Here is a 26,639-nt window from a genome sequence, read left to right as displayed (position 1 = left end):
AGCCTCCCAAGTAGCTGGGACTACAGGCGCACGCCACCACGCCTGGCTAATTTTTTTGTATTTTTAGTAGAGACGGGGTTTCACCGTGTTAGCCAGGATGGTCTCTATCTCCTGACCTCGTGATCCGCCCGCCTCGGCCTCCCAAAGTGGTGGGATTACAGGCGTGAGCCACTGCGCCTGGCCATTTTTTGTATTTTTAGTAGAGACGGGGTTTCTCCATGTTGGTCAGGGTGGTCTCGAACTCCCGAGCCCAGGTGATCTGCCCACCTCAGCCTCCCAAAGTGCTCGGATTACAGGCGTGAGCCACCGCGCCCGGCAGCAGTTTCTTATTGAAACAGAATGTTAAAATCTGTTATTAAGTACTGAAGATATACACATACACATCTTTTTCTACTGCTGGGCCTTATTTTTTGGCCTGTTGAAATGGAAACAAAGTGAAAGTGATACTAATAATACAGTATTTCCATTCAGAAGGAACTTTAAACACATTGTGTGGTCCAGTTTCACCTTATAAGGGTAACAAAGGTATAGAAAGGATGTTATTTATTCATGGAGACAGAAAAGTTATCACCTGCATTTTCTTTCCTTGCTTATTTATAAAGTGGTTTTAATTAACCCACTGAGTTCATTTGGAATCTTGTGTCACCAATATTGGTAGATCTGAAGTTTTCTGAAATTATTGGACACTTTGGAAGCACAAAATTTTACATTAGATGCTCTGATAGACTTGGCTGGGATCATCTCTTGCATTTAATCCAGATTCTGTGGCAGCCTTAGAATGAAAATGAGCTTCATCATGACTCCAGAGATGGAGTATATACTATGGGTAAGATTCCTCTTTTAAGGTTCACATTAATTGAAAGCACCATTGAAAGAGGGGATGGAGGTAAGGGGAAGCTGGGGCTTGACAGAAAATAAAATACTACATTGATCTTTTATTTTCTTTTTGGAGGTAGAGTCTCGCTCTGTCGCCCAGGCTGGAGTGCAGTGGCGTGATCTCAGCTCACTGCAACCTCTGCCTCCTGGGTTCAAGCAATTCTCCTGCCTCAGCCTCTCAAATAGCTGGGACTCCAGGCGCACGCCTCCACGCCCGGCTAACTTTTTGTATTTTAGTAGAGACAGGTTTTCACCATGTTGCCCAGGCTGGTCTCAAACTCCTGAGCTCAGGCAATCCACCTGCCTCAGGCAATCCACCTGCCTCGGCCTCCCAAAGTGCTAGGATTACAGACATGAGCCACTGCGCCTGGCCTTTATTTTTTATTTTTTATTTTTGAGGCAGAGTCTCACTCTGTCGCCAGGCTGGAGTGCAATGGCACGATCTCAGCTCACTGCAACCTCCGCCTCCCAGATTCAAGTGATTCTCCTGCCTTAGCCTCCCGAGTAGCTGGGACTGCAGGTGCACGCCACCACGCCCAGCTAATTTTTGTATTGTTAGTAGAGACAGGGTTTCACCATGTTGGCCAGGATGGTCTCGATCTCTTGACCTCGTGATCCACCTGTCTGGGCCTCCAAAGTCCTGGGATTACAGGCATGAACCACCACACCTGGCCTTTTTTTTTTTTTTAATTGAGATACAGTCTCACTCTGTCCCCCAGGCTAGAGTGCAGTGGCACATTCTCAGCTCACTGCAACATCTATCTCCTGGGTTCAAGCGATTCTCCTGCCTCAGCCTCCCAAATAGCTGTGATTACAGGTGCTTGCCATTATGGCTGGCTAATTTTTGTTTTGTTTTGTTTTGGTTTTTTGTATTTTTAGTAGAGATGAGGTTTCACCATGTTGGCCAGGCTGGTCTCGAACTCCTGGCCTCAACTGATCCACCCGCCTTGGCCTCCCAAAGTGTTGAGATTACAGGCATGAGCCACTGGGCCCAGCCCTGCTTTTCAAATTAAGAAGAGAAAGCATTTGGTTCTAGATAATATACACATAGCTCTCTTTTTATGAAGTGGAATGGCTTAGTGATTAATATTTCTGTCTGAGGTGGGGGTGCTTTCTTAAGGTTATTAGTAGAAATGGTGTTTGGAGTTGTTTAGTTTCTGCCATGGGTATAAGTGAGTTGTCTCTTAAACTGACTTTGCACACTGGAAAAATAAAATGAAAGGCAGGCCTGGCTGAGAGACCAGAGCTTCTGTGCCCTTTGATGTATCATTTGAGCCCTTTGGACTAAGAAAATGAACTTCAACTTCCCCGTCCTCTGCTTCACAATTTAGTTATATCTAGCCCTTCTGCCAAAGAGAGTAGTGTGTCCTTCTGCCTTTTTGCTCTATATTCTCTCAAGACTCCTGAAAGCTTTTTCTAGTATTTCTCCCTTCTTTTCGGCTCTTCAGATTCCTTTTACCCACTGTTTCTTTCCCTGGCCTGCTAGTGGGCTCTTTTCCCCACTCACCTCCTCTCTGCCTTGTTTTCCCCTCAGCTTCCTGTGTGCCTTCTCCCTCTCCCTCCCGCCAGTCACCTTCAGTTGCCTGCAGCCACTGCTGGGACTTTCTCATCGGCCTTCCCTCCCTTACTCTCTGGATCCTGGCTTCCTCCTTGACTCTATTCAAACTTTTTGCCAGGCTCACCAATGGTCTTTCCATTCAGCAAACAGTTCCCAAACACCTGCTGTCTGCCCAGCACTGTCCTGATGCTCGAGTACCCTATGTCTTCTTCCTCTCCTTCCGGAGTTCTTTCTGTCCTCCTCGGGGGTGGTGCGTGTTCTCCTTCCTTGTCATTTCCACAGTCCTCCTGGGCCTGCCTTCCTGCTTGTTGTATTAGGAAAGCTCCCAGTAGGGCTCTGCTTTCAGATCCTTAACCTCATTCATCTCCCACAGATTCCTAGGATCCCCACTCGTAAGTATAGACCTGAGCCAGTCTTCCATGCTCAGGACCCACCTGTTCCTGCAGCCCTCATGGCTCTTGATAATCTAGCCATCACCTCTTGTGCAGTTTCCCTCTCACTCACTCCTGTCAAGGGCCCACCCACACCACACCTTGCTTTTCTGAGTTTGCTCTTGTTCCCATTGGTCATACCCTGCCTGTGAAAATTCTTCCTTATCCTCCTGGGCCCAGCTGAGACACCATTCATGTTAAGGATCCTCTCCTAGTACTCAGTCAGCATCCATTGCTGGATTCCCATCACCACAGTAGCTGTGAACTGTTGTTACCAATGGGTATGGTGCCACCATTTTCTTGATTCAGCTCAGTAAATATTTACTGAATGCTTCAGCAGCCCTAGTGGAACGCCTTGTACATAGTAAGCACACAAACATTTCTTTGCCCAGTGGTTGGATGTGAGAACAAGCTGCACCTTCCTTTTGCCAGCATGGTGCTGAGGTGGGGCCCTGGCATTTACACTTTAAAAAGCCCCTAGTGGCCAGGTGCAGTGGCTTACACTTGTAATCCTAGCACTTTGTGGGGCTGAGGCAGGAGGATATCTTGAGCCCAGGAGTTCAAGACCAGCCTGGGCAACATAGTGAGACCTCGTCTCTACAAAAAATAGCTGGGCATGGTGGCATGCGCCTGTAGTCCCAGCTGCTCAAGAGGCTGAGGCAGGAGGATCGTTTGAGCATGGGAGGTCAAGGCTTCAGTGAGTTGTAATCATGCCACTGCTCCAGCCTGAGTGACAGAGCAAGACCTTGTTTCAAAAAATGAAATAAAAAGCCCATAGGTAATTCCAAAATAGATTGTATCATGGCAGTTCTCTTCTGGGTCTTACCCAGATGTCTGCGGTTATAAGGATACAGTGGTAGGTTTTATTATTACCGAAACTAACCTAGAATCCTTTTTCACACAGATCTTCAAGACAGGACTCTTTGTATATTGTTGAGAGAGATTCTTGGCCAGAGCCTTCATAAATTTATCTTGCTTGTGTTCACAGACCTGCAAGGGGTTTTTATTTCACAGATCACACGCAGCTTTATTCTCTTTGGATTGTGTCATGAAAATAGCCTGGTCAGATGTCATGTCAGCACTAAGCCTAAATGGACAATTCAGAGAAAAGAAAATGAGCTTTGTAACCGTTGATTTGGTTAAACTGTTTGATGAGTCTGTAAGGAATCAGGATCATAAGAGTGGGATTCCTATTTGATGGTCCTTCTCAGTCCCAAAGTCTTTGGACCCTTGTTTCTCTTTTGGTAAAAGAATTTGGTGTCTTTTCGAGAACAAATGTGACAAGGTAAACACTTCTCTACTAAGATAGCAGTTTCCATTTCCAAAGCCGTGCATCATCAAGTATTGGCTTTTGCCCTCAAGCAATCTGATATTAAAAAGCTTCAACTAAGTGAGGGAAATAGGATTTTTTCCTGTTTCAAGATGTTTACTTTAGGAGACAAAAATGTTTTACTTCTGTATATATCTTAAGGCACTAATACAGACTTCAAATTTAGTTTTATGCCTTTTGGGTTAAAAGTGAAGAATGGTCTTTCCTTTATCCCATAAAGCAGATGACTTTGGTGGCTGACAGTGTTAAGATCAACTACAGTAACTTCAAAAAATTTTTTGACCCTGTTCCATAGAAATGCTTTATTTTGTAACCCAGTACATACCAAATATATTTGTGAATAATTGAAAGAAAGCTTCACAGAACAATATCCTTATGTTGCACTCTGTTGTCCTTTTTTTTTTTTTTTAATGCTGGTTGTAACCCACCAATTTGATGCTGGTTTCACTCTCAATTTGAAAAATCCTGGTCCATCTATAGATTGTGTGACACTCCCTAAGCCTCCACAGTAGTGAGAAAACTGGTCTGAATTGTCAGAAAATAGAAACCAAAGCCTCAGTAGTTTAACACTATCATTGGTCTGCTCAATGCAAGTTAATACAACTGAAGCAGCTTTAGAAGTTCTGAGGTAGTTAAGGTGAAACAATCTTCTCAAAATCATATTGGCAGTATCAATACTTTTCAGTCTCCATTTTGAAGTTAAATGTAATTGAAGACCTTACTTGGTTTCCTAGTAGCATTCTTTTTTTTTCTTTTGAAACAGAGTCTCACTTTGTCACCCAGGCTGGAGTGCAGTGGTGCCATCTCGGCTCAGTACAACCTCTGCCTCCCAGGTTCAAGCGATTCTGCTGTCTCAGCCTCCTGAGAAGCTGGGACTACAGGGATGCGCCACCACGCCCGGCTACTTTTTGTATTTTTAGTAGAGACGCGGTTTCGCCATGTTGGCCAGGCTGGTCTCGAACTCCTGGCCTCAAGTGATCTGCCTGCCTCAGCCTCCCAAAGTGCTGGGATTACAGGTGTGAGCCACCATGCCTGGCCCATGGTAGCATTCTTTAGTTCACTTACTCATTATCAGTTTCTTCCTCAAAAGAAATGTTTTTTGATAGACACTTGAGAAAATAAATTTTAAAATAAAATAGAAGATCCAAATCGTAAATATTTTGTCATATATATCCTTCCAGATTGTTTTTGGTGTATATAAATATATGTATGAATACACTTGAGAAAAACATTTTAAGAATCAACTGATATACTATATATACTGCTTAGTATGAACTGAAATGATGTAAAAAATGATGCCAAAGACTTCGATGTTAGTATATGTATGTCTCTATGATCATTGCTAATGGCTGAATAGAATTTCATCATATATGTATATTAATGGATGTAATATAATTAAACCAATTCTCTATTAGACATTTAGGTTGTTTCCAATTTTTAGCCATTATAAACAAGGCCCAGTAAACACTTTTTTTTTTTTCTTTTGAGACAGTCTTGCTTTGTTGCCAGGCTGGAGTGCAGTGGCGTGATCTCAGCTCACTGCAACCTCCGCCTCCTGGGTTCAAGTGATTCTCCTGCCTCAGCCTCCCAAGCAGCTGGGACTACAGGCACACACCACCACGCCCAGCTAATTTTTGTATTTTTAGTAGAGACGGGGTTTCACCATGTTGGCCAGGAAGGTCTCGATCTCTTGACCTCATGATCTGCCCATCTCAGCCTCCCAAAATGCTGGCATTACAGGCGTGAACCACCGCGCCCAGCCAAGATTTTTTAAATGAACTGGAAATTGCAAATCTACCTAACCCTAAAAAAAATAAAAAATAAAAAAAAATTATGTACAGAAATCTTCCCTAATCTGTTTAAAGAACTTTTGCCTTTTCTTAGAGTAGCATCACCCTTGTGCTATTATAGTACGAAATAGATATAATTTGAGATGAAAACTTGACTTACTAGAAACTGATTGTAGTTCTTGCCTTGATTTTCAGACAGTACCTGTAATGAGAAACAGTAAAGAAAACAGACTAAGAGGAAACAAAGCGTTCTGCGCGGTGGGTTTCTAATTGAGTGTAGTGACCTGTTTGTTAAATATTCATGATTCGCAAGGTGCAAGTGGCCATTCTACATTGTTATACTAGGTTAGGAGACGCCTTTGTAGAATACAATTTTTGTTTTTGACTTTGACTTCTTAAGCCTCTAAGTAAATACAGTTGCAGCTGGCTGCAAATCCTGCTATCTGACTTCATCAGCCCGGCCCATTATCATCCTTTCATGAGGTTTTTATTTTTTTATTTTTTTATTCTAGAAAGAGGGGTTGTCCCCTGCTACCTGTAGGTATTGGGGTATGTGACCATAGCTCCAATGGCCTCGGCACCATCACAAGTCTTGGTTTGAGTCTTGTTAATGATGGCAGCTTTGTGAACATTGCTTGTTTTCATTGTTTCAGATAAGTTATCTATATGCATATTATTGGATGTAATTTTTGGTCAAAAAAGGGATAGAACTAGGATTTTAAGAATCACTTTAAAATATATATCTGTAAACAGCATTTTGTTTAATTTATACATTTTTATAATAAAAATACATAATAACCACATTGCAAAAAAGTTGAAGTGTAGAAAAAGTCAAGCAGCTATAATCTTTCCATCCTAATATAACTACTGTGATTTCGTTCTTTCTTTCCAGTCTTTATTTTTTTTGAGACAGTCTCATTCCGATTGCGTAGGCTGGAGTGCGGTGGTGCAATCTTGGCTCACTGCCACCTCGACCTCCGAGGTTCAAGTGATTCCCCCACCTCAGCTTCCTGAGTAGCTGGGACTATAGGCGCGAGCCACCACGCCCAGATAATTTTTTTGTTTTGTTTTGTTTTTGAGATGGAGTCTTACTCTGTCACTAGGCTGGAGGGCAGTGGCGTGATCTCGGCTCACTGCAACCTTCACCTCCCGGGTTCAAGCGATTCTCTTGCCTCAGCCTCCCTAGTAGCTGGGACCACAGGCACACACCACCATGCCCAGCTAATTTTTGTGTTTTTAGTGGAGATGGGGTTTCACCTTGTTGGCCAGGATGGTCTCGACCTCTTGACCTCGTGATCCACCTGCCTCGGGCTCCCAAAGTGCTGGGATTACAGGCATGAGCCACCGCGCCTGGCCTTTTTTTTTTTTGAGATGAAGTCTTGCTCTTGTTGCCCAGGCTGGGTGCAATGGCGCGATCTCGGCTCACTGCAACCTCCACCCCCCAGGTTCAAGCGATCTCCTGCCTCGGCCTCCCTAGTAGCTGGGATTACAGCCGCCTGCCACCATGCCCGGCTAATTTTTGTATTTTTAATTGATACGGGGTTTCACTATGTTGGCTAGGCTGGTCTCAAAACTCCTGAGGCATGAGCCACTGCACCCGGCCAATTTTTTTGTATTTTTAATGGAGATGGGGGTTTTGCCATGTTGGCCAGGCTGGGGTTTTGCCATGTTGGCCAGGTCTCGAACTCCTGCACTCAAGCAGTCCACCTGCCTCAGCCAACCAAAGTGCTGGGATTACAAGTGTGAGGCACTGCACCTGGCCTCCAGTCTTTTTTTTCTTATGTGTAGACTTTACCTAGTTGTAAGCAGACATTTCAGAACCAATGTCTTTGCCTAAGGGAACATAAATGTGGATGTATTAAACGGCTAAGTTTTAAAAAACAATTATATGCTAGATATTAATTACTAGAATTCTTTCTCATGTGCTGAATACAATATTGTATTGCACTGTAAACACAGAAAGGTACTGCCAATTCAGTTATCAGGGTTGTCATTTATTAGAAATGCAATAGTAAAATTGTAAAATAAGGCTGGGCATGGTGGCTCATGCCTGTAATCTTTCCTGCCTGGCACTTTCAGAGGCCAAGGCAGGAGGATTGCTTGAGCTCAGGAGTTGGAGACCAGCCTGAGCAACATAGCGAGATCTTGTCTCTACTAAAAAAAAAAAAAAAAAAAAAATAACGAGGCATGGTGGCGTACGCTTGTAGTACCAGCTGCTTAGGAAGCTGAGGTGGAACAATTGCTTGAGCCCAGGAGATTGAGGCTGCAGTGAGCTTGATCCACTGCACTCGAGCCTGCGTAACAGAGTGAGACCTTGTCTCCAAAAAAAATTGTAAAATACCATAATTCTGAAATGGGTCCTTCGTGTCACCCTCCCCTTTGAGAGTCCTAGTGGTGGAAGGCGGGAATTTCTGAAAGTGACTTTTTTTTTTTTTTTTTTAAAACATGAACTGCAGAATGAAAGTGACTCTTATCAGGGATCTCCGAGTAGCCTCTCCAAGATGACTAAAACACCAAGTCATGTTAGTTACATTAAAGAAAAAGTTAGGCACGCTCATGTACACACATGTACATATGAACTGCAATAATGCCAACATAAGATAACTTGACCAGAAGTCTATTAAAGTCCTTTCAGGGTCTGTGTCCTGCAGTTACAGAATACCATTTTGTGTCTATGATGATCACAAAATTGGCATAGGCTTTTAGTTTTTATCTTCGCTTATACCCAGAAGCCATCTTATTTGTCACCTTTTTTATACTCTGTCCCAATGACTCATACATTCCCTTGGAGGCTGAGAACTGCCTTCTTTGGTTGGAAATTATTGAAATGAATGGGAAAAGCAGGTATAGAATATGTGCAAAAGAATTAGGATATAGTTGAAAGGATTTGGAGTTAGGCAGCCCGTGCTTGAACCTGGACTGGACCCATCCTCCTAGAGCTGTGTATTAAGGACAATAAACCCTGCTCAGCCTGACAGGGTGGCTGTGAGGAGAGGATGAAACGTTTTAGGAGAGCGTACTTTATCAATTCCAAAGCCCAGTATATGTCTTCATCCTCAAGCTGAACTGGAAAGGTACTCTTAATAGAGCGCTGTACATGAAACCACAGTAAAGCTCTTAAACAAAACAGCCTTATTGTGACCCTGTTTCTTTCTTCTTCCTTCCAGTCTTCAGGCAGTGACAGTGGTGGGAGCAGCAGCAGCAGCAGCAGCAGCATCAATAGCCCGGACAGGGCCAGCGGGCCGGAAGGCAGCTTGAGCCAGACCATGGCCGGATCCAGCCCTAACACGCCTCAGCCCGTGCCCGAGCAGTCCGCGCTGTGCCAAGGCCTCTACTTCCACATCAACCAGACCCTGAGGGAGGCCCACTTCCACAGCCTACAGCACCGAGGGCGGCCTCTGACATGATGTGCCGGCAGTTTCTTGCCTTCTGTGAAGGGACAGCGCTGTGCAGATTTGATATTTCAACTTACAACTTGTTTTAAAAGAAAAATTGCACACGAAAAATGCCTGTTGGCTTTTCAGTCTATATTTGAAATAACAGGTTAACAGGCAGTTGTTTACTTGTGGTTTTGCTGCACTATTGCAATTTCAAAGGGGCTTTGAAGCAATTTTTTATAGGATTCTTTTGAGGGAGGGTATCAAATCTATGTCAAGGTAGTGGTTTGAGGAAAACTCATTCTGTGTGTTGAATCCATAGTATGTCCCATTCAGACTGATTTCCAAATCTGTCAACTAGAAACTCTACTTTATGTAAAGGGCCTTTTAAAAATGCGGGATCTTCAATTTTTTTTATTCAATAAACTAGTAAAGAGTATCTAGTTTCCATGAAAAAACATAAGTTTTTTTCCAAAATATAGGAAGCTTGATTCAGTCTTGCACTGAAATTAACTGCCATACTACCTCTCAGTATGTAGATGTTCTATTGAAAGTACTCTCTCCTGTGTAACAGGAGAACAATCAGATCCAATTCAGACTGTCAGTGAAGCACACTCCCTAATAATAGTCTCTACTCTTTGTTATATATTTGTATTTCCAGAGAGAATGTCTTTTAGATTCTTGTATACCCAGATAACTTCTGTGTCACTATTCCACCAGAGTCTGCACCTCAGACTTTAGTAGGAAACATGGCACAGTTCTGCAAGTAAAGTAATATGTAATGACTTTTTGTCCTACAAACTTGGTCAGTCAGCAGCTTACATGATCTCATTGACAATTCCACCTTGTAGTGTCAACAATTAAGGTGTTGTTGAACGCTGATAAAATGTAAGCTACCTGAACTGATGTCTAAAGCAACAAGTATTGTGAAATTTTGGGACAAGGATTAACTTGATGCTTAAAGTAACCCCCAACAGTAACTAGGGGGCCACATTCCATCAGTGAAACTGGAAAGATTGGTGTGGCTGAGAATCAGATGAGCAGAGGCACCTTTAGAAGAAATAATGTGGTAGTATTTATTTAGGGAGAGACAGATGTGTTGCCATGTTACTTAGTCATACTAGAGAGCCAGCCAAGTTTGAATAATGAAGGTGCAGACGTGTTGTCTTCTTCACTGACAAGCTGTCTGAACAAGGAGCCAGGAACTGTCGGGTCACCAGCTGTGGAGCGTGCCGGGGGGACAACCTGCCATTGGATGTAGAGAAAAGTGCCTTAGAGTTGGCCTGAGCCCTCCTGCCCACTCGCCCTCCGCGCGACGCCACTCGGAGTCCACACGGCACACACAAGCGGAGCTGAGAAGCACGATGGCTCTAGTCAGAGGACTTTGCTGTCGGTCCAGATTTGAAGAGGACACGGAACAGCATGAGCCTTTGTGACAAAACTAGAATTTGGAAATGAGGACTGTCTTGGGAAAAGGGTAGACACAGGCACTTCTCTCCACAGCCTGCTAACCTAATGTGGGCAGAACTGAAAGATCACTGCAGTGGAAACTGTTCTGGAAGAGGCTGCAACATAGCCCATGCTTAGGGACTGGATGGTTTTTGCAAGAGCTTTTTTTTTTTTTAAACTACCATCTCCCAACTTTTAAAGCCAGATACTTGACAAGGATTTTAGATCTTAATGGGTTCGATGGTAGGGAATACGGAAAGGATACACTGCTAATATTGTGTCTAACAATAAAGCAAACAACTCGATGCTGTAAGAAGACAAGCTGTTTGAGCTTTCAAACACACATGCACACAGCACAATTCAGAAATACCCAGGAGGATTCCTGCAGGCTTAACAGTTGGCATCGTACTGAAATGAAACGTGTATTAACAAGAAAATGTCAAACTTTTGGGGAAACAAATTTTCTGTTACTTCCCACCCAACTAAAAGGGAAGATAAAACCATCATCACCAGAACAAAACAGATTTTCTCCAAACAAGTACAATGATAGTGCCGGGTTGGCAGTTAACTCTTTCACCCTACTAAATTCAAGAGCTCATCTCCACCCTGTCCTGTATATTTTCTACATTTCTATTAAGAGGCTACTTGGTAGTGTCAGCGGGCATCTTTTACACCTTCTAGTAGCTCAAGCTAGTAAAACCTTGTACTTCTCTATTGCGCCGCCATTAAAAGCAGCATTAGTGCATTTTGTCATTCAGTTCTTAATCAGTTATTTAAAAGGGAGCTGATCATGGGTGGCTCGGTGGGAGGTGGGGACCCATCCACGGATGAGCCTCTTGCTCTTGGCACCAACCTGAGCTTTTGTTTCGATGTTTCTGGTTGATTTAGCCTTTCGAGTGCTTGTCATGCTCAGTGGGAGAAGTCCAAACCTCCAAAACAAGAGGAAAGAATTTAGTAGCACAAACAGGCAGCTCTGGGGCCCAGCAGAAGCCTCATTTTTTTTTTTTTTTTTTTTTTGAGACAGAGTCTCGTTCTGTCGCCCAGGCTGGAGTGCAGTGGCGCAATCTCGGCTCACTGCAAGCTCCGCCTCCTGGGTTCACGCCATTCTCCTGCCTCAGCCTCCTGAATAGCTGGGACTATAGGCACCTGCCACCAGGCCAGCTAATTTTTTGTATTTTTTTTAGTAGAGACAGGGTTTCACCATGTTAGCCAGGATGGTCTCGATCTCCTGACGTGATCCGTCCACCTTGGCCTCCCGAAGTGCCCCGCAGAAGCCTCTTGGCAGCCTTTACCTGATCTGACTGGATGCCAGTGGCAGGATGTTATGGGGTTCTTGGGAGTTGAACGTACTGCTCCGGGGGGCGAGCTGATTCTCTGTACCAGTCACCAATCCAAACAGAACCTGGCAGACAAGAGGTGGAGCAGAGGTTTCATTGTGCAGGTAAAAGAAAGGCAAAAAAAAAAAAAAAAAGGTTAGTCACCCATCGCTACCGTATTTCTAACTGTCATTTTGGGGAATGTTCTGAGTGCATTTATGCTTCACGATTACTTTTTATCACTGCCCACAGGTCAGAATCTGAGAGGCAGGGAGTTTTTATTCCTCTTTCTGAGGCCTGGATAAAACTGTAATAATCCTTATTTACAACTTAAGGGGCCAAATCTTGGTTGCCTCAGTGTGTGAGATTTTATCTAATCCTCTTTCAGTCCTTATAACTACACTCGGCTATTTGTGTCTTATTCCCCTCCCTATGCTGCATCCTGGAGTATTACGTGCTTGAGCAGGTTAATTTTGTTATTTGAGCCTGTATCGCTTCGTTCGCACTAAGCATGTTTTTGATTTGACTCACAGAAGTTCGCTGCACCAGGCGATGAAGGTTGCTGTTGAGGTGTGGCGTGAAAACGTCCAGGTCAAATGGATCAATGAGGGCTTCCAGGTGGTCAGTCACTTTCTCAATTCTGAGAAAAGGATTAGGATCATTACTGTCCACATTTTTTAGGATCAAAAACAATCTTATGATATCCTACTGCTGTAGAAATCTTGGAGTTGGGTTTTATTCTACTTAGTTGCTGGCTTAGTACGTTTGTCACTGATGATAGTGCTTAAGTCACCCTCAAGCATGATGTCTAAGTGAAGTCCACCCTTTCCCCCGTTCTGTCTATAAGGAGGGCACTAAGGGCTCAAATGATACTCAGCAGCTGCTAGGCTGACTCAGAAGAGAGGGGAATAAGAGTCCACCTATTTCACTTGACCATTGCATTTATCCAGCAGGCGGCCATTATTTAACTTGCTGGCAATATGAGCACTTACTGTTCAAAACAAACACAATGAATGTGCAGTATAACAGGCTGACTCTGGTGGCTTCCCAGCAAAGGGACTATTTGCTTTTGGAAGAGACCGCCTTGACATAGCTCCCTAGAGGATACGACACCTGGAGTCTGGCTTGCTCCGGCCACTCTTCACCTCGTCACCCTTGGCTGTCAGAACAATGTTGAGGTAACGCAGATCATAAAGCAGCTGCAGCGCCCGGTTCTGGGTGACTGGAAATGCACCTTCTTTCTGCAAATGAATTCCCAGTCCCCACCCATGAAGAGAGAGGACTTGGTATGTGAGCGTAATAAACAGCTTCAAGTTTTGGTTGAGTTTCAGCTTGCTATTTCAGAAGCAGATGGTTTTAATGCTCATATGGCCAGTTTAATCTCACAACAACAAAACAAATTTTGTTAGAAACTTGACCTTAAAATTAAAAACCTAACAGCAGGGAAGAGACCTGGCCCTTAAAAAAGGCCTCAGATGCTGTAAATGGTTGTTCTAAAGGGGAAAAAAAGGCTCCTTGCCTGAAGGAGAAGTGTTTTGAGGAGGCTCATTAGAGAAGACTTACTGAATTCTTTCCAAAATCAGGATTTGTTCCTTCTTGGGTTTTTGTTTGTTTGTTTGTTTGTTTGTTTTGAGATAGAGTCTCGCCTTGTTGCCCAGGCTGGAGTGCAGTGACACAATCTGGGCTCACTGCAACCTCCACCTCCCAGGTTCAAGCAATTCTCCTGCCTCACCCTCCTGAGTAGCTGGGACTACAGATGTACGCCACCACACCCGGCTAATTTTTGTATTTTTAGTAGAGATGGGGTTTCACCATGTTGGTCAGGCTGGTCTCGAACTCCTGGCCTCAAGTGATCCACCCGCCTTGGCCTCCCAAAGTACTGGGATTACAGGTGTCAGCCATCGCACCTGACCATGTTCCTTCTAAAAAATGTTACTGGCCAGGCGTGATGGCTCCTGCCCATAGTCCCAGCACTTTGGGAGGCCGAAACAAGCGATTTGCTTGAACCCAGGAGTTTGAGACCAGCCTGGGCAAAATCGCAAAACCTGTCTCTACAAAAAATAACAAAAATTAGGTGTGCTGGCGCATGCCTTGTGGTCCCAACTATTCGGGAGGCTGAGGTGGGAGAATCTCCTGAGCCTGGGAGGTTGAGGTTGCAGTGAGCCGAGATGGTGCCACTGCACTCCAGCCTGGGTGACAGAGTGAGACTCTGTCTCAAAAAAAAAAAAAAAAAAAAAAAGTTACTAATGAAATGGGATTATACACCAAGGGCAGAACGCTTCCTAGACAGTGAAAGCAGTGTGAAGGGTTGGGAGACAAGAACTCCCCGTAAGTAAGCACCTCTGTGTGTCACACTTTGTGGCAGGCAACTGTTCTCTCTAACTCCCCACAGTCACCCCTGAGGTAGGTGTGCTGTGGCTGGGGCCGGGGGCTGTCTGCCTTTTACAAGTGAGGAAACCACTGAGCGGTTTATCTACAGGATCACATTTGGCCCTAAGGAAACGGAGGTTAATGATTTGCCCGGAGCCCCCAGTGAACCAGTGGCAGCACTGAGGTTGGAAGCCAGGTCTTTTATTTTGAAGCTCTGATCCTTTTCATTGTTTTTTGATTTTTTTGTTTTGTCTTTTTAAGAGACAGGGTCTTGCTTTGTCGCCCAGGCTGGAGTGCAGTGGTGAGATGATAGCTGCTCATTGCAGCCGTGAACTCCCAAGCTGAAGCCATCCTCCCACCTCAGCCTCCCAAAGTTCTGGGTCTTGGTGTTTCCATCTGTGCTGAGCTGCCTTCTTAGCGAAGATCTGCTGACCCTTTAGAATGAGTGTAAGTAAACTCACAGCGCTGGGTGCTACTCCTAAGATAGAGCATTTTTACAGGACCCGATGCCTGGGCTGGGTGATCCTTAACAGTTTGAGTCTTTGATGTGAACTGCTCAAACCCAAGACAATGCTAAGGTTTTCTTTTGTTTAATTTGTGTTTTTAATGGGCAAACATTCAGACACCTACCTTAATCTGTTTTTCTTCGGAGAGTTTCTCATAGGCAGCTACTACTTGAACCATACAGCTTTTCAGCATCTCCTGTAATGTCACCTTTGGCAAGGCATGGCCTCCAACCCGATTAATTTCCTGGCATAAACTAAACAGGAAGGACTGTACATACCAGGACGGCTAAAAGAACAAAGAAATGTCACATTGCCAACTTGCACCAATTAAATGACACACAGTGAAAGTGAATCCACTTAATCTTACAAGGCCTATGTGCCAGGACTTTGACCCCTCTCAGCAACGCTTCTTACAGGCAGACTGTTCAGCAGACACAAGGCCCCTGGTTAAGTGCAATTTGCTGTTACTGCCTCCACGGTCTGAGGCTGATCTCGAAGAGGTGCCTGTGTTTTATGCTGCTGATTTCACGGCAAGTAAGTGGTTCCCTAATTAGCACAGAGCCTATGCTACAAAAGGAAAGAATGGTTAACTGACTTCTTGAACAGTCTGCCATTTACTTAGCCCTACATCTACTATGCCCCCACAGTAGAAAATTACAGATGTTACTTTCAGCTATTCCTCAGAAGTTGTATGTTGAATGATTTTCTAAAATCTTTCTTCTTTTCCACGGAGCAGTTTATTCCCTTTTTCAGCCCATGGTCCCTGCTCACCTGTGCAGGGAGTCGGATCTTGGATGTGACACTGCTGCCAGACTCTGCCTCCTCCTGAATTTCTAGCTCATCCCAGCTGGTGGCTGTGGCCAGAACTGAGCCAGCATCATCTAGAAGTAATGACTGGGTGAATCCATGAATCAAAACCTGGTAATAAAAGGCAGATATCCATACAAGCCACTCAGATCCTCTGTAGAGTTTCTTTAAAACAATCTGTGTAATCCTGAGAACAGCTCAAGCTGCTGAAGTTGTAGGTACAGTGATGGTATCAGTCCTCTTTTGGCTAATTATCAATGATATCAGCCATGGGAATTTTGTTGCTAACTACCCTATAAATGTCAAATACCACTTCTTTTTTTTTGAGACAGGGTCTTGCCCTTCTCCCAGGCTGATTGCAGTGGCACAATCACAGCTCACTGCAGCCTCGACCTCCTAGGCTCAGGCAATGCTCCTGCCTCAGCTTCCCAAGTAACTGGGACTACAGGCGTGCACCATCACATCCGAATAATTTCTGTACTTTTTGTAGATAGGGGGTTTCATCATGTTGCCCAGGCTGGTCTTGAATTCCTGGGTTCACACAATCCAACCATCTCAGCCTCCCAAAGTGCTAGGATTACAGGCATGAGCCGCCATGCCTGGCCCAAATACCACCTCTTAAGGTACAAGTGGAGGCTACTGGGAATATGATATTTAGGTTAAAGAGAGGAAATCCAGGCAGAAAGTCTTTCATTCTCATCTGATGCAAGGAAAAAATGCAGCTTTTCTGTCTACTGAATCTAAGCTAAAAATGAATGAAAAAGTTTTTTTTGAGACGGAGTCTCGCCCTGTTGCCCAGGCTAGAGTGCAGTGGTGCGATCTCGGCTCACTGCAAGCTCTGCCTCCCGGGTTCACACCATTCTCCTGCCTCAGCCTTCCGAGTAGCTGGGACTACAGGCGCCCACCACCATGCCCGGCTAATTTTTTGTATTTTTTTAGTAGAGACGGGGTTTCACCATGTTAGCCAGGATGGTCTCGATCTCCTGACCTCGCGATCTGCCCATCTTGGCCTCCCAAAGTGCTGGGATTACAGGCATGAGCCACCGCGCCCGGCCAAAAAAGTTTTTACTGAACTTTCTGGCAGAGATAAAGTTAACCGTATGAAATCAGAATTGTTTTGCCTTTACTACTGAAGGAACTGATTGAGGTTGGCAAGACTGGAATATGACAGAAGTGAGACAAGACAGGGATAAGAAATTACATCACTCACTTTCACAACTGCACTGCTCCAGACCTGGTAGCCCATCACGCTCTGCTGGAGGAGTACTTCTTTAACCTCTTGCCACTTGGCCTGTGTAGGAATGATTTCCTGAGTTTTCACCTTTCCCTGTTTTCTCAGAGCCCTAAACTCCCTTGCTGGTTTCTCTGAGCTCTCTGATTTTCCCAGGATGCACTGCTTCAGATGGGGGCACAGCTCTCCCAGGGACTGGCAGAGTCTGGCCATGAAAAGAACTGAGTGCAGCTTGGCACTGTTGAGGGCATCCTGTTGCCCTTGCACACCCTCTTCAATGCTCTGTAGCTCTGCCCGGATGCAGTCCACGATGTGCTTGATGCATGCCACGGACTGAGTCCGCAGCATCTCCTGCACGGTCCCCGCATCTGCGTATCTGTCAAAGGCAGAACTCTTGGCCTGTGTGGGAGAAACGTCCTTGGGCAGTGATGAGTCATCAGAGGGGAGGTAAGCCAGGAGGTCATCTAGTTTAACCTTCAGCTTAGAATCCAGGGCAGAACAGAAGTTCTGTACACAAGGGCTGATGGCTTGTGCTTTCATGGAGAGGCCGCTACTGGCAAACTGACCCCGGTTTGCCACGCTGACCCAGGCCGCATCGGAAGGCAGGTCATTAGGACTCTCAGACCAGAGGAAGAGCGACATGTTGTACTCAAAGTGGATGTGCTTATTTGAAGGGGAGTTGCTGGTGCTGCTTTCAAGTTCCTGCAAAGCTGAAACCAAGAGCTCCTTGGAGCTACTGGAGATGGAGTCAAAGCCTTCTTTTGTCAGAGTCTAAAAGAGAATGAGAGAAGAGTTCTAATCACAGTTCCTTTAAGGACATTTCAAAACAAAAGTACCAAATGGTAATTTATCCTAGCATTCAGAAGGTTCACCATCTTCAGAAAGATGGCATGGTGTTGGCAGAGAATAAAGCCATTATTGATGAACATGGGCCCATTCCCGATCAAGTGACAGAGGCCTGGTGTATTTTCAGCTCTAGACTCTGGATCTGTTACTAAGCAGGAAAAGAATATACTTGGGAAGCGACAGAAATCTCCCAAGACAGTCAAAATACCACTAGGATTGGCCATAAAACAGGTAGACCATGTGACTGTCCAGCTCACCTGTAATCGGTCAAGGAACAGTTGCTGCATCATATCTTCCCAGAACAAGAGCGGCTTCTCCAGAAGCCGCCGACATAGCACATCCCAGCTGTGATTGGTGGACTCATTGGTAAGTAACTCCCACATGGCGTCCCGGATTCCCGCGAGACCCTTCATGCTCTTCACGTACATGAGCAGGTTGGTGATCCCATTTTTAATGTCTTCATTACACCTGCAACAGAATCATGTTCTTTGGGCTCCATCAGAGGCATGGTGTTCACATCTTTATTAAGAAAAACATCAGAATCCCATTTGACAATCTCTTATCTGAGTTCCAGTAGATAAATATCTATGTGTCTCAGTGTTGATAGACCTGTAGCAACACAGAGCGTTTTGGCTGGGTTGGGGCATGCAGTCTGTTGCCCACACCAGGCCTACCCTTGCTTCCCCGAGGATATACGCAAGTCTGGACCCTGCGGAATGGCTTAAAAAAACAATGCATTAAGTAAAAACAGGAGTTGCAGAACTCTCACATAAAGAGAATTTAAAACTCCCACATAACCTTTTGAAAGACAAATTCCTTCTTGGTTCTCCCACAGCGGGTGCTGAATGACCTCAAAGGTGGCAATGGGTCACAGAGTGAGAGGCTGGCTGATGGGCAGCACGCCATCCAGGACAGGCTTTCTGCACATGCCTCGCTGACCCTTGTAATGCCCCGTACAAGGCTGCATGGGTGGCTCCTGCCAGCTGCAGGGAAGCTCTTTCTGGTTACTTACATGTGGATCCATTTCTGCAGCGTGTCTTTCAGGTATTCCTGACTGATGGGATGTGCAAGGGTTCGGAGTGTTGGCTGGAACTCGACGATGGATGCTGGCAGGTGTTTAAACCAGCTGCAGAGTTTCATCTCTTCCTGCAGGACACCAGTGCCCTTTCCTAAAGAGAAGGCCAAGTGAGAAGCCATCTAGGCCACCCTTTGAAGTGCATATTGAAACAGGGAGTTAGGCCAGGCCAGCTTGGGCAACACAGTGAAACCTCACCTCTACAAAAAAGAAACAATTTGCCAGGCGTCATGGTGCACACCTGTAGTTGCAGCTACTTGGGAGACTGAGGTAGGAGGATCATTTGAGCCCAGGAGGTCGAGGCTGCAGTGACCCATGATCATGCCACTACACTCAAGCCTGGGCAACAAGGTGAGACCCTGTCTCCAAAAAAATAAATAAATAAAAGATGGACTTAGAAGAAATTTCCAAAACTTATCAAGTTTTCCTTTGGAAGGTCAAACTGGACTTCTGAAATACAAGGAAAGAGAAAGTACGGGACACGTGTGAGGTCCCATCAGGGAGTGTGGCAGCCGCCCCACAACTCTGGTCATTCTGTTGGTTGAGAAGAATGGCAAAGATCGGGAGGAAACAAAAACGGGGATCAAAAGAGTAGAAAGAAGAAATGAGTGCTATGCAGTCCTGGGGGTTTTCAAAGTAGAACTTAAGTTGTCAAAAAAGCAAAAGGTAATGGCTTCCCTTTCCTCTCAATCCTCCTACCTCCCCCGAAGATGGAAGGAAAGAATCGATGACTGCTTATCCTGATTAACTGAGTCGTTCATAGCTCTTCAGAGGTGACCTGTCAAGAAGGGGACAGGCCTGCACTGCGCAACTCTGGGAGGCCCCGTTCACTGTGTTCTGAGCATAAGGCACCCTCCGGAGTTTGAAACCCAGGGCCCTCCCAAGGCCCCTTGTACTGCTTTCTAAAGCCATGACAAGTCAGCCAGTACCCACCCTTCCTGAGTGGGATGAGGTACTAAATGTAAGCACCTTGAGGGAAAGCGAAGCATAAGGAGGTGGAGTTGAAAGATAAAGTGAGCCAAGATGAGGTGACATTAAGCACCTCTCTCTGGAAACAGCCACGTGGCCACCACCGCACTCTTCTGTTTCCTTTCTACCTTTGGCTGTATCTCCTTTGTCAATTTTGCTGACACCTCCATTTGACCTTGGATTTCTGGAGTTCCATAAGGCAGAGTCCTCTGTCATCTCCTTACTGATGATGTCATCCATTCCCACAGCTTGAAATAACAGCCACATGCAGATGTACAACAGTGTGTCTCCAACTAGACCTCCCAGCGATCTGTTCTGGGCCCTCAGGCACCTGCCCGCTTCACAGTCCCATTCCAAGGCCTCAGCCATCGCCAATGCAACGTTTTCTCTCTTTCGTTTTTTTAAAGACAGGTTCTCGCTCTGTCACCCAGGCAGGAAAGCAGTGGCACAGTCACTGCTCACTTCAGCCTCAACCTCCCTGGCTCAAATGATCCTTCTGCCTCAGCCTCCCAAATAGCAGGGACCACAGGGGCATGCCACCACACACAGCAAATGTTTATCTTTTGTAGAGATGGGGTCTCACTATGCTGCCCAGGCTGATCTCAAACTCCTGGACTGCCTCAGCTTCCAAAGTGCTGGGATTACAGATGTGAGCCACAGCACTGGGCCATTTCAAAGTGAACCCATCATCGGCCACTTCAAACCAGCTCCATTTCTACTTAACTTGGTCACCTCCCTTCTCACATCCTTACAGCCAATCTGTCACCAAATCCTCTCCTCCTAAACAGACGTCCGAACATGCAATTAGCTCCGTCTCTATTGTTCCTTCGTAACCCAAGCTCCCAGCGGCTGACACCTGGATCGTGGCAACAGCCTCCTAAGTGAGCTCTTGGCATCCATTCTAGCCCCAAGGGGATCTATTCCACCTAAAAGCCAAATTCATTTATTTCATTTCAGTTGCGATAAATGCTACCAAATAAAAGTACAGGATGCACGGGCACACATAACAGAGGGTCCGCACCAAGCCTGGAAGGTCCCAGGAGGCTTCCATTGTTCTTTGGATAAAGTCTAAATTCCCTAGCCTCGCTCACAAGGCTGGGCATTATCTGGCCCCTGGCCCCACCTCCAGTCTCTGCTCAAGCAGCTCTCCCCCTCACCCAATGCCTCACTGGCTGTCTTACAGTTTCTTCTTGCCTCAGGATCTTTGCACATCCTCTTCCCTTTGCCTGAAAGCCTGTTGCTTGCCTTCTTCATCTAAGTGACTCCCACTCAACCTTCAGCTTTCAGGTTAAAGGCTTCTCCAGGGAAGCCTTCTCTGACCTTGGTGAGTTACTTCCATTCAATGTTCCCAAGGCAACTTGTACTAAGCCTTTCTAGCAATGACCAATATAGACACTAAATGGATATTCGCATATTTGTGAGTCTGATACCTGCTTCTACCACTCAACTGTGGCCTCGATGAAGGAAGGGCCTCTATTTGTCCAGTTCACTGCTCCATCCCCAGAGCCTAGCATGGTGGCTGGCACACGGTAGACGCTGAGCAAATTATCAGTTGAGTGAACCAGAATTTAAAAAGCTTGGCTAAGAGCTCACCGGCAGGATGCTGGCCTGTGATGGTCTCCAGAGTAGAGAAGAGCAAGCCACATGGCAGGGCTGGATCTGGCAGCAGTCCTTCTGGCAAAGTGTAGAAAAGGGCATGAGCTTGCTTCAGAGTGGTGGCCAGCAACTCCACTAATGAGCAAATCTGAGCCTTGATACCAGCACCTAAAAGAAGAAACCATCCTCTTTGAAACAATTACCTTTCCCAAAGTGAAAGACAGAGGACGCTCTGGAGGCTTCAGTCTCCCGCAGCTCACCCTTCTCCATCCCATATTTAAGGACCAAATGTTGGCCAGAAGCCACACCCACCATGGTGTGGCTGGTTGAGAAGTTTCTGAATAGTTGCCTTTCTGGCCAGCAGGAAGTCTGTGAGGGCTTGGCGAGGAGAACTCTCTTCTAAGAGCATTATAGAGCACAGGGCCTCGGCCACAGCTTGGTCAGACACACCTTGGCATTTGAGCAACATCTTGCTTTCATGCAGAATAGTTGACCTAGAAAAATGATGACAGAAGTCGCCAGGGTGTTTTTCACATCTTGGGTAAAGAGCTTTGGTACATCAGGAAAGAAGACAAACGCCATAAACCCGTAATGTGAAGCCTGGCCACCACCAGAGCAGCTCTTTGCGCTGGATCCACTTACCGGAAGTGGCTGGCGGCTGCCACCTGCCGGATGAGTATAGGAAACCGGGAGAGGACGGGACTGTATCGGGAACTAGAAGAATCCAGCTGGAGCAGGCTGTGGAGGTGGCAGCAGAGCAGGTAGAGCTGTGTGGCGTGGAGACACTGAGAGGCTTCCATCGAGCTCCAGATCTTCTCCGGAATTTCTAAGAGTAGCTTGATCTGGGCAGCCATGCTGTAGAACTTCTCCTGGGATGGCTGCTGTGGCTGCAGGGGAAGGCACAGAACTAAACCAGAAGAACGAACAAAAGCAATCTCAGTGTTCTGTAGGCTTAGGAAGAAATCTGGGGGTATTTAAGGATACAAAACTTCTATTAAGCTGGGTTCAGTACAACTCAGCAAGTCATCAAAGCCCAGTGTAGAAGAGTTGCCAGAGTCAGGAGTGTTGTAAGATCCCATGGTTTTTCCTACACACGCGTGCATTTTTGCTCAGCCCCACGAAGAGGCAAACTTTCGTCTCCCACCAGGCCCCACCTCCAACATTGGGGATTATAATTCAACATGAGATGTGGGCAAGACACAAATCCAAACCACAGCAAATGGATCAGTGCCTCATAAAAGGGCTGGAGGCAACTTTTAGGTTCTTCTACCTTCCCCCACGTGAGGATACAGCAAGAAGGCCCTCACCAGACATCAAAGGCCAGTGCCTTAATCTTGGACTTCCCAGACCCACAACTGTGAAAAATACACTTGTGTTATAAATTGCCCAATCTCAGGTATTTTGTTATGGCAGCACAAATGGACTAAGAAACCTAAATTCCAAATCTCATCATGCCCTTAAGGTCCCTCCTTACTAAGAACAACCCAAGCCTAAACTGACTTCCTTCAGAACTCCTAGGGTAAATATACACAATTATTTTGGGAATCAAACATCCCGGGTTCCAGTGATTCTCCTGCCTCAGCCTCCTGAGTAGCTGGGATCGCAGGTGCGTGTCGCCACGCCTGGCTAATTTTTGTATTTTCAGTAGAGACAGGGTTTTACCATGTTGGCCAGGCTGGTCTCAAACTCCTGACCTCAAGTGATCCACCGCCTCAGCCTCCCAAAGTGCTGGGATAACAGGCCTGAGCCACCGCGCCCAGCCTTTTTTTTTTTTTTTTTTGGGACAGCATCTCACTTTGTTGCCCAGGCTGGGGTGCAGTGGTGCGATCATGGCTCACTGCAGCCTTGACCTCTTGGGCTCAAGAGATCTTCCCACTTCAGCCTTCCAAGTAGCTGGGACCACAGGCATGTGCCACCATGCCCGCTCACTTTTTGGTATTTTTTGTAGAGATGGTGTTTCACCGTGTTGCCCAGGTTGGTTTCAAACTCCTGTGATCAAGCAATCCACCTGCCTTGGCCTCCCAAAGTGCTGGCATGAGCCACAGCGCCTGACCTGTTATTCTAAATTTTTTTACATTTTTTTCTCGTCAAGTTTCCATGGATTTATTTCCTCGACCAGGTTGTAAGCTCCTTCAGAGCAGGAATTGGGGGACTTCTGTTTCTTTGTAATGTGAACGAAGAAGACACTCAAATTTTTGTAGGGTTAACCGAGAATAAACCAGATATAACAACTATGAAAATCAATACGTTTCTAAAATCAGGCATAATTCAAGTTAGCGTTTTAATAAACCCTGAAGCATGACTCAGTTACAGCAAAGGCTGGCCACCTAAGGGGACACGTGTACTAAATGTTAGCTTTGGGAGGGATGAGGTCACTCATTTCAAAAATATGCAAACTTATTTGCAACTTCCTATAGTTTTATTGTGTCAGTCCAGTCTACTGACCAGGATTTCTGTAAAGCTCAGATAGCATGAACAAGTTCCAAATTGGAGTTAGACTGTACTTTTCAATTTTTTCTTCTATGTCCCAGTAAGTTCTCCCAGGCTGTTAAAAACAACTAACTGTTTACCTTTTTCACCCTTCATGCCCTTTCACTTCGTTCATTGCTAGGTCTATATTCTTTAAGGGGCCGTGCGCGGTGGCTCTCGCGCCTGTAATCCCATCACTTTGGGAGGCCAAGGCAGGCAGATCACATGAGGTCAGGGGTTGGAGACCAGCCGGGCCAATATGGTGAAACCCCGTCTCTACTGAAAGTACAAAAATTAGTCGGACATGGTGGCAGGTGCCTGTAATCCCAGCTACGCGGGTGGCTGAGGCAGGAGAATCGCTTGAACCCGGGAGGCGGAGGTTGCAGTGAGCCGAGATCGCGCCACTGCACTCCAGCCTGGGTGACAGAGCGAGATCCTGTCTCAAAAAATAAAGAAATAAAAATTCTTTTTTTTTTTTTTTTTGAGACAGAGTCTCGCTCTGTGGCCCAGGCTGGAGTGCAGTGGCGCGATCTCGGCTCACTGCAAGCTCCGCCTCCCGGGTTCATGCCATTCTCCTGCCTCAGCCTCCCAGGTAGCTGGGACTACAGGCGCCGGCCACCACGCCTGGCTAATTTTGTGTATTTTTAGTAGAGACGGGGTTTCACCGTGTTAGCCAGGATGGTCTGGATCTCCTGACCTCGTGATCCACCCGCCTCGGCCTCCCAAAGTGCTGGGATTACAGGCGTGAGCCACCGCACCCGGCCAATAAAAATTCTTTAGGAACGCAAGCTGCAGCTCCAATATGAGGATGTGTTTGTTTACCTCCCATCCTTCCTCATTGTGTCTAATCAATAGCGTTTGGGGGGAAGAACACGGGATAAGGAGAACCTGAATGAAAAAAGCCTTAGTTCTGAAAATGAAAATGTTCAGCTATTAAAAGGTAAGGGCTTGGCCGGCTGTGGTGGCTCATGACTGTAATCCCAGCACTTTGGGAGACCCTGTCACATACATACATAAAGTTAAGGGCTTGATAGCTGGTACCCTCAACAACTCCCAAAGGGTAGAACAGCTATTTGGGGTTGTGGAAGTTATTCTTGGGGAGATAAGGGGAAGGTTGGGATGAGGAAGAAATGACTTGGAGTGCAGGTGTCAACATAGGGGAGAAACCTGAGGAAAAACAATGTCAGGACATGTTATATAGGTGAGCGTTGAACTGTCAAGACAGAAACTCCTGGCGTTTTCCGCTAAAATTGAAAGGAGCCCAGTGAGGTGTAGGAATCAAGGCCCGGAAGTCGGGGGAAAGCGCCTGAAGAAACTGTTGAATGGCATTTCCAGAACGGATCAGCAGCCGCATATGTGCAAGGAAGGCTGGCACTGTCCTCTGAGGGGGGCCCAAAGGGTGAGGGGCGGATAGGCTCCTGGCTAAGGAAGGTGAGGACTCGCGGGGTCTGGGACTGACAGAGGGGGGCGGGGTTGACCTGCAAGGCCAGGGGCTCCGGGACCCGCCTGCGGGTCGCAGGGTGGGGGCACGGGGACTGACCTGCTGGGCCCGCGGTGGCCGGGGCGCGGCCGAGCCGGCCTGGCGGAGGCGGGCGCAGTACTGGTCGGTGGCCTTCACGGCGTCCACTAGCCCCACGGCGCAGCGGCGCATCTGGCCGATGGTGTCGGCCGCCTCGATCAGGTCGCGGTACCGTTCGCCCACCATCTGCCGCAGCTCCTCCTTCTTGTGCTCGATCTCGGCCCGAACCTGGCGCTCCAGCCCGCGGATCTCCTCCGCTCCATGCGTCTCGAAAAGAGCCGCAGGGTCGCGCAGATCCAGCCGCTTCAGCGCGGGTGAGGTTGCCGCGGTGGCCATGGTGCACTCGTCAGCCCCCGGCGATCTACCTACGCCCTTTTAGTCCCGCCCCCTCCGCCATCTTCGTTGGGGGCGGAAGCGCTTCCGCCCCGCCGGGGGCCATGTTTGTTACCCGAGGGGGCGGGCGCGAGGGGGCGGGCGCGAGGGGGCGGGCGCGAGGGGGCGGGCGCGAGGGGGCGGGCGCGAGGGGGCGGGCGCGAGGGGGCGGGCGCGAGGGGGCGGGGGCGGGCGCGGGCGCGGGGGCGGGCGCGGTCCTGCGCGGGGTTTTCTTAAACGGAGCCGGCTGGGAAGTGAGGTCGCCAGAGAGGTGAGGTCGCCAGGTTGGCTGCGAAACTGTGGCTGAAGTCTTCCCTTTCCCTTAGGAGCAGAGCTTCTCTGTGGAGTTAGGTGTCGGGATCGGGCCCCGCGGACTGACGGCGTTGGCGCAGGCGCAGCCGCCGCTCTCCGCGCGCCTGGCGCCCGCGAGCAGACTCGGGCGCGCTCGCCGCCGCTGGGTCTCGGATCGCACCCCGCGTGCAGTTTTAGGAAGAGGGACATCCGCGCCCCTCGCTGTTCCCCGGGAAGAGCTACCACGCCGCCCCTGAAGGGGTTCTGAGCGCTTGTTTGGCGTCTGCTTTTCCTCTGCTGTTGATTCGTGTTGGAGGTTTTCCATTTCGTTTAAAACCGATGTTTAGCCCCTGAAGACGTTTTCCCTGCGAGAGCCTGACCTTGGTGGCCATGGGGGAGGAGGGCGGCGGGCTGGGCGGGAGAGGCTGGGACGCCCCGGGGAACGCAGCGCCAGACGGGTG

General features: G+C 47.1%; 2 protein-coding genes across 8 annotated transcripts in view, besides 6 other annotated features; one reads left to right on the top strand and one right to left on the bottom strand.

The window, feature by feature from the left end:
* VCF1 (VCP nuclear cofactor family member 1) overlaps positions 1-11,568 on the top strand; it is a 25,042-nt gene extending 13,474 nt beyond the window's left edge. For 3 of the 7 annotated variants that reach the window (NM_001289410.1, NM_001289411.1, XM_047436947.1), the window contains one exon: positions 9,153-11,568. In NM_001289410.1, the coding sequence (NP_001276339.1) occupies positions 9,153-9,243 (91 nt within the window). In that variant the 3' untranslated portion in view covers positions 9,244-11,568. Of the gene's footprint in view, positions 1-6,180; positions 6,244-9,152 lie in introns of all 7 variants that reach the window. The other 4 variants (NM_001098832.2, NM_001289412.2, XM_024451008.2 and 1 more) reach the window with 3 other exon arrangements.
* On the bottom strand, positions 10,414-25,866 carry COG1 (component of oligomeric golgi complex 1). The gene is made up of 14 exons (NM_018714.3): positions 25,537-25,866; positions 22,170-22,414; positions 21,840-22,021; positions 21,525-21,695; positions 18,900-19,056; positions 18,145-18,355; positions 17,021-17,812; positions 15,775-15,921; positions 15,128-15,289; positions 13,241-13,368; positions 12,659-12,767; positions 12,104-12,213; positions 11,665-11,740; positions 10,414-10,607 (listed from the first exon to the last, which is right to left on the bottom strand). The coding sequence occupies exons 1-14, from the start codon at positions 25,849-25,851 to the stop codon at positions 10,470-10,472; spliced, it is 2,943 nt and encodes a 980-aa protein (NP_061184.1). The 5' UTR covers positions 25,852-25,866; the 3' UTR covers positions 10,414-10,469.
* Positions 15,217-15,511: a silencer, noted in NCBI's record as "tiled region #2581; K562 Repressive non-DNase unmatched - State 17:Gen3'". NCBI's record gives its function as "represses a minimal TATA promoter and a strong SV40 promoter by Sharpr-MPRA in K562 cells {active_cell/tissue: K562}" and the evidence as "EXISTENCE:reporter gene assay evidence [ECO:0000049][PMID:27701403]".
* Positions 17,913-19,112: an enhancer, noted in NCBI's record as "CDK7 strongly-dependent group 2 enhancer chr17:71195948-71197147 (GRCh37/hg19 assembly coordinates)". NCBI's record gives its function as "activates an origin of replication core promoter dependent on BRD2, BRD4, P300/CBP, MED14 and CDK7 cofactors, with strong dependence on CDK7, by STARR-seq in HCT116 cells {active_cell/tissue: HCT116}" and the evidence as "EXISTENCE:reporter gene assay evidence [ECO:0000049][PMID:35650434]".
* Positions 25,375-25,584: a silencer, noted in NCBI's record as "silent region_8921". NCBI's record gives its function as "represses an Ori minimal core promoter by ATAC-STARR-seq in GM12878 lymphoblastoid cells {active_cell/tissue: GM12878}" and the evidence as "EXISTENCE:reporter gene assay evidence [ECO:0000049][PMID:35858748]".
* Positions 25,635-25,914: an enhancer, noted in NCBI's record as "active region_12690". NCBI's record gives its function as "activates an Ori minimal core promoter by ATAC-STARR-seq in GM12878 lymphoblastoid cells {active_cell/tissue: GM12878}" and the evidence as "EXISTENCE:reporter gene assay evidence [ECO:0000049][PMID:35858748]".
* Positions 25,880-26,639: an enhancer, noted in NCBI's record as "H3K27ac hESC enhancer chr17:71188421-71189180 (GRCh37/hg19 assembly coordinates)". NCBI's record gives its function as "activates a minimal SCP1, AML or CMV promoter by ChIP-STARR-seq in naive H9 embryonic stem cells {active_cell/tissue: H9 hESC(naive)}" and the evidence as "EXISTENCE:reporter gene assay evidence [ECO:0000049][PMID:30033119]".
* Positions 26,545-26,594: an enhancer, noted in NCBI's record as "active region_12689". NCBI's record gives its function as "activates an Ori minimal core promoter by ATAC-STARR-seq in GM12878 lymphoblastoid cells {active_cell/tissue: GM12878}" and the evidence as "EXISTENCE:reporter gene assay evidence [ECO:0000049][PMID:35858748]".

The sequence above is a fragment of the Homo sapiens genome, chromosome 17 (assembly GCF_000001405.40).
Source record: "Homo sapiens chromosome 17, GRCh38.p14 Primary Assembly".
Lineage (NCBI taxonomy): Eukaryota > Metazoa > Chordata > Mammalia > Primates > Hominidae > Homo > Homo sapiens.
Note: the sequence above shows the minus strand (reverse complement) of the source record. Positions and strands in the feature narration are given on the sequence as shown.

Bases quoted from the DNA above. Each gene is read 5' to 3' on its own strand.
- COG1 (NM_018714.3), bottom strand. From the start codon at position 25,851: ATGGCCACCGCGGCAACCTCACCCGCGCTGAAGCGGCTGGATCTGCGC. The intron at 22,415-25,536 runs GTCAGTCCCCGT...CTTCCCCTGCAG, and splicing joins GGCCACCGCGGGCCCAGCAG to CCACAGCAGCCATCCCAGGA. The intron at 21,696-21,839 runs GTGGGTGTGGCT...TTCTTCTTTTAG, and splicing joins TCTCAACCAGCCACACCATG to GTGCTGGTATCAAGGCTCAG.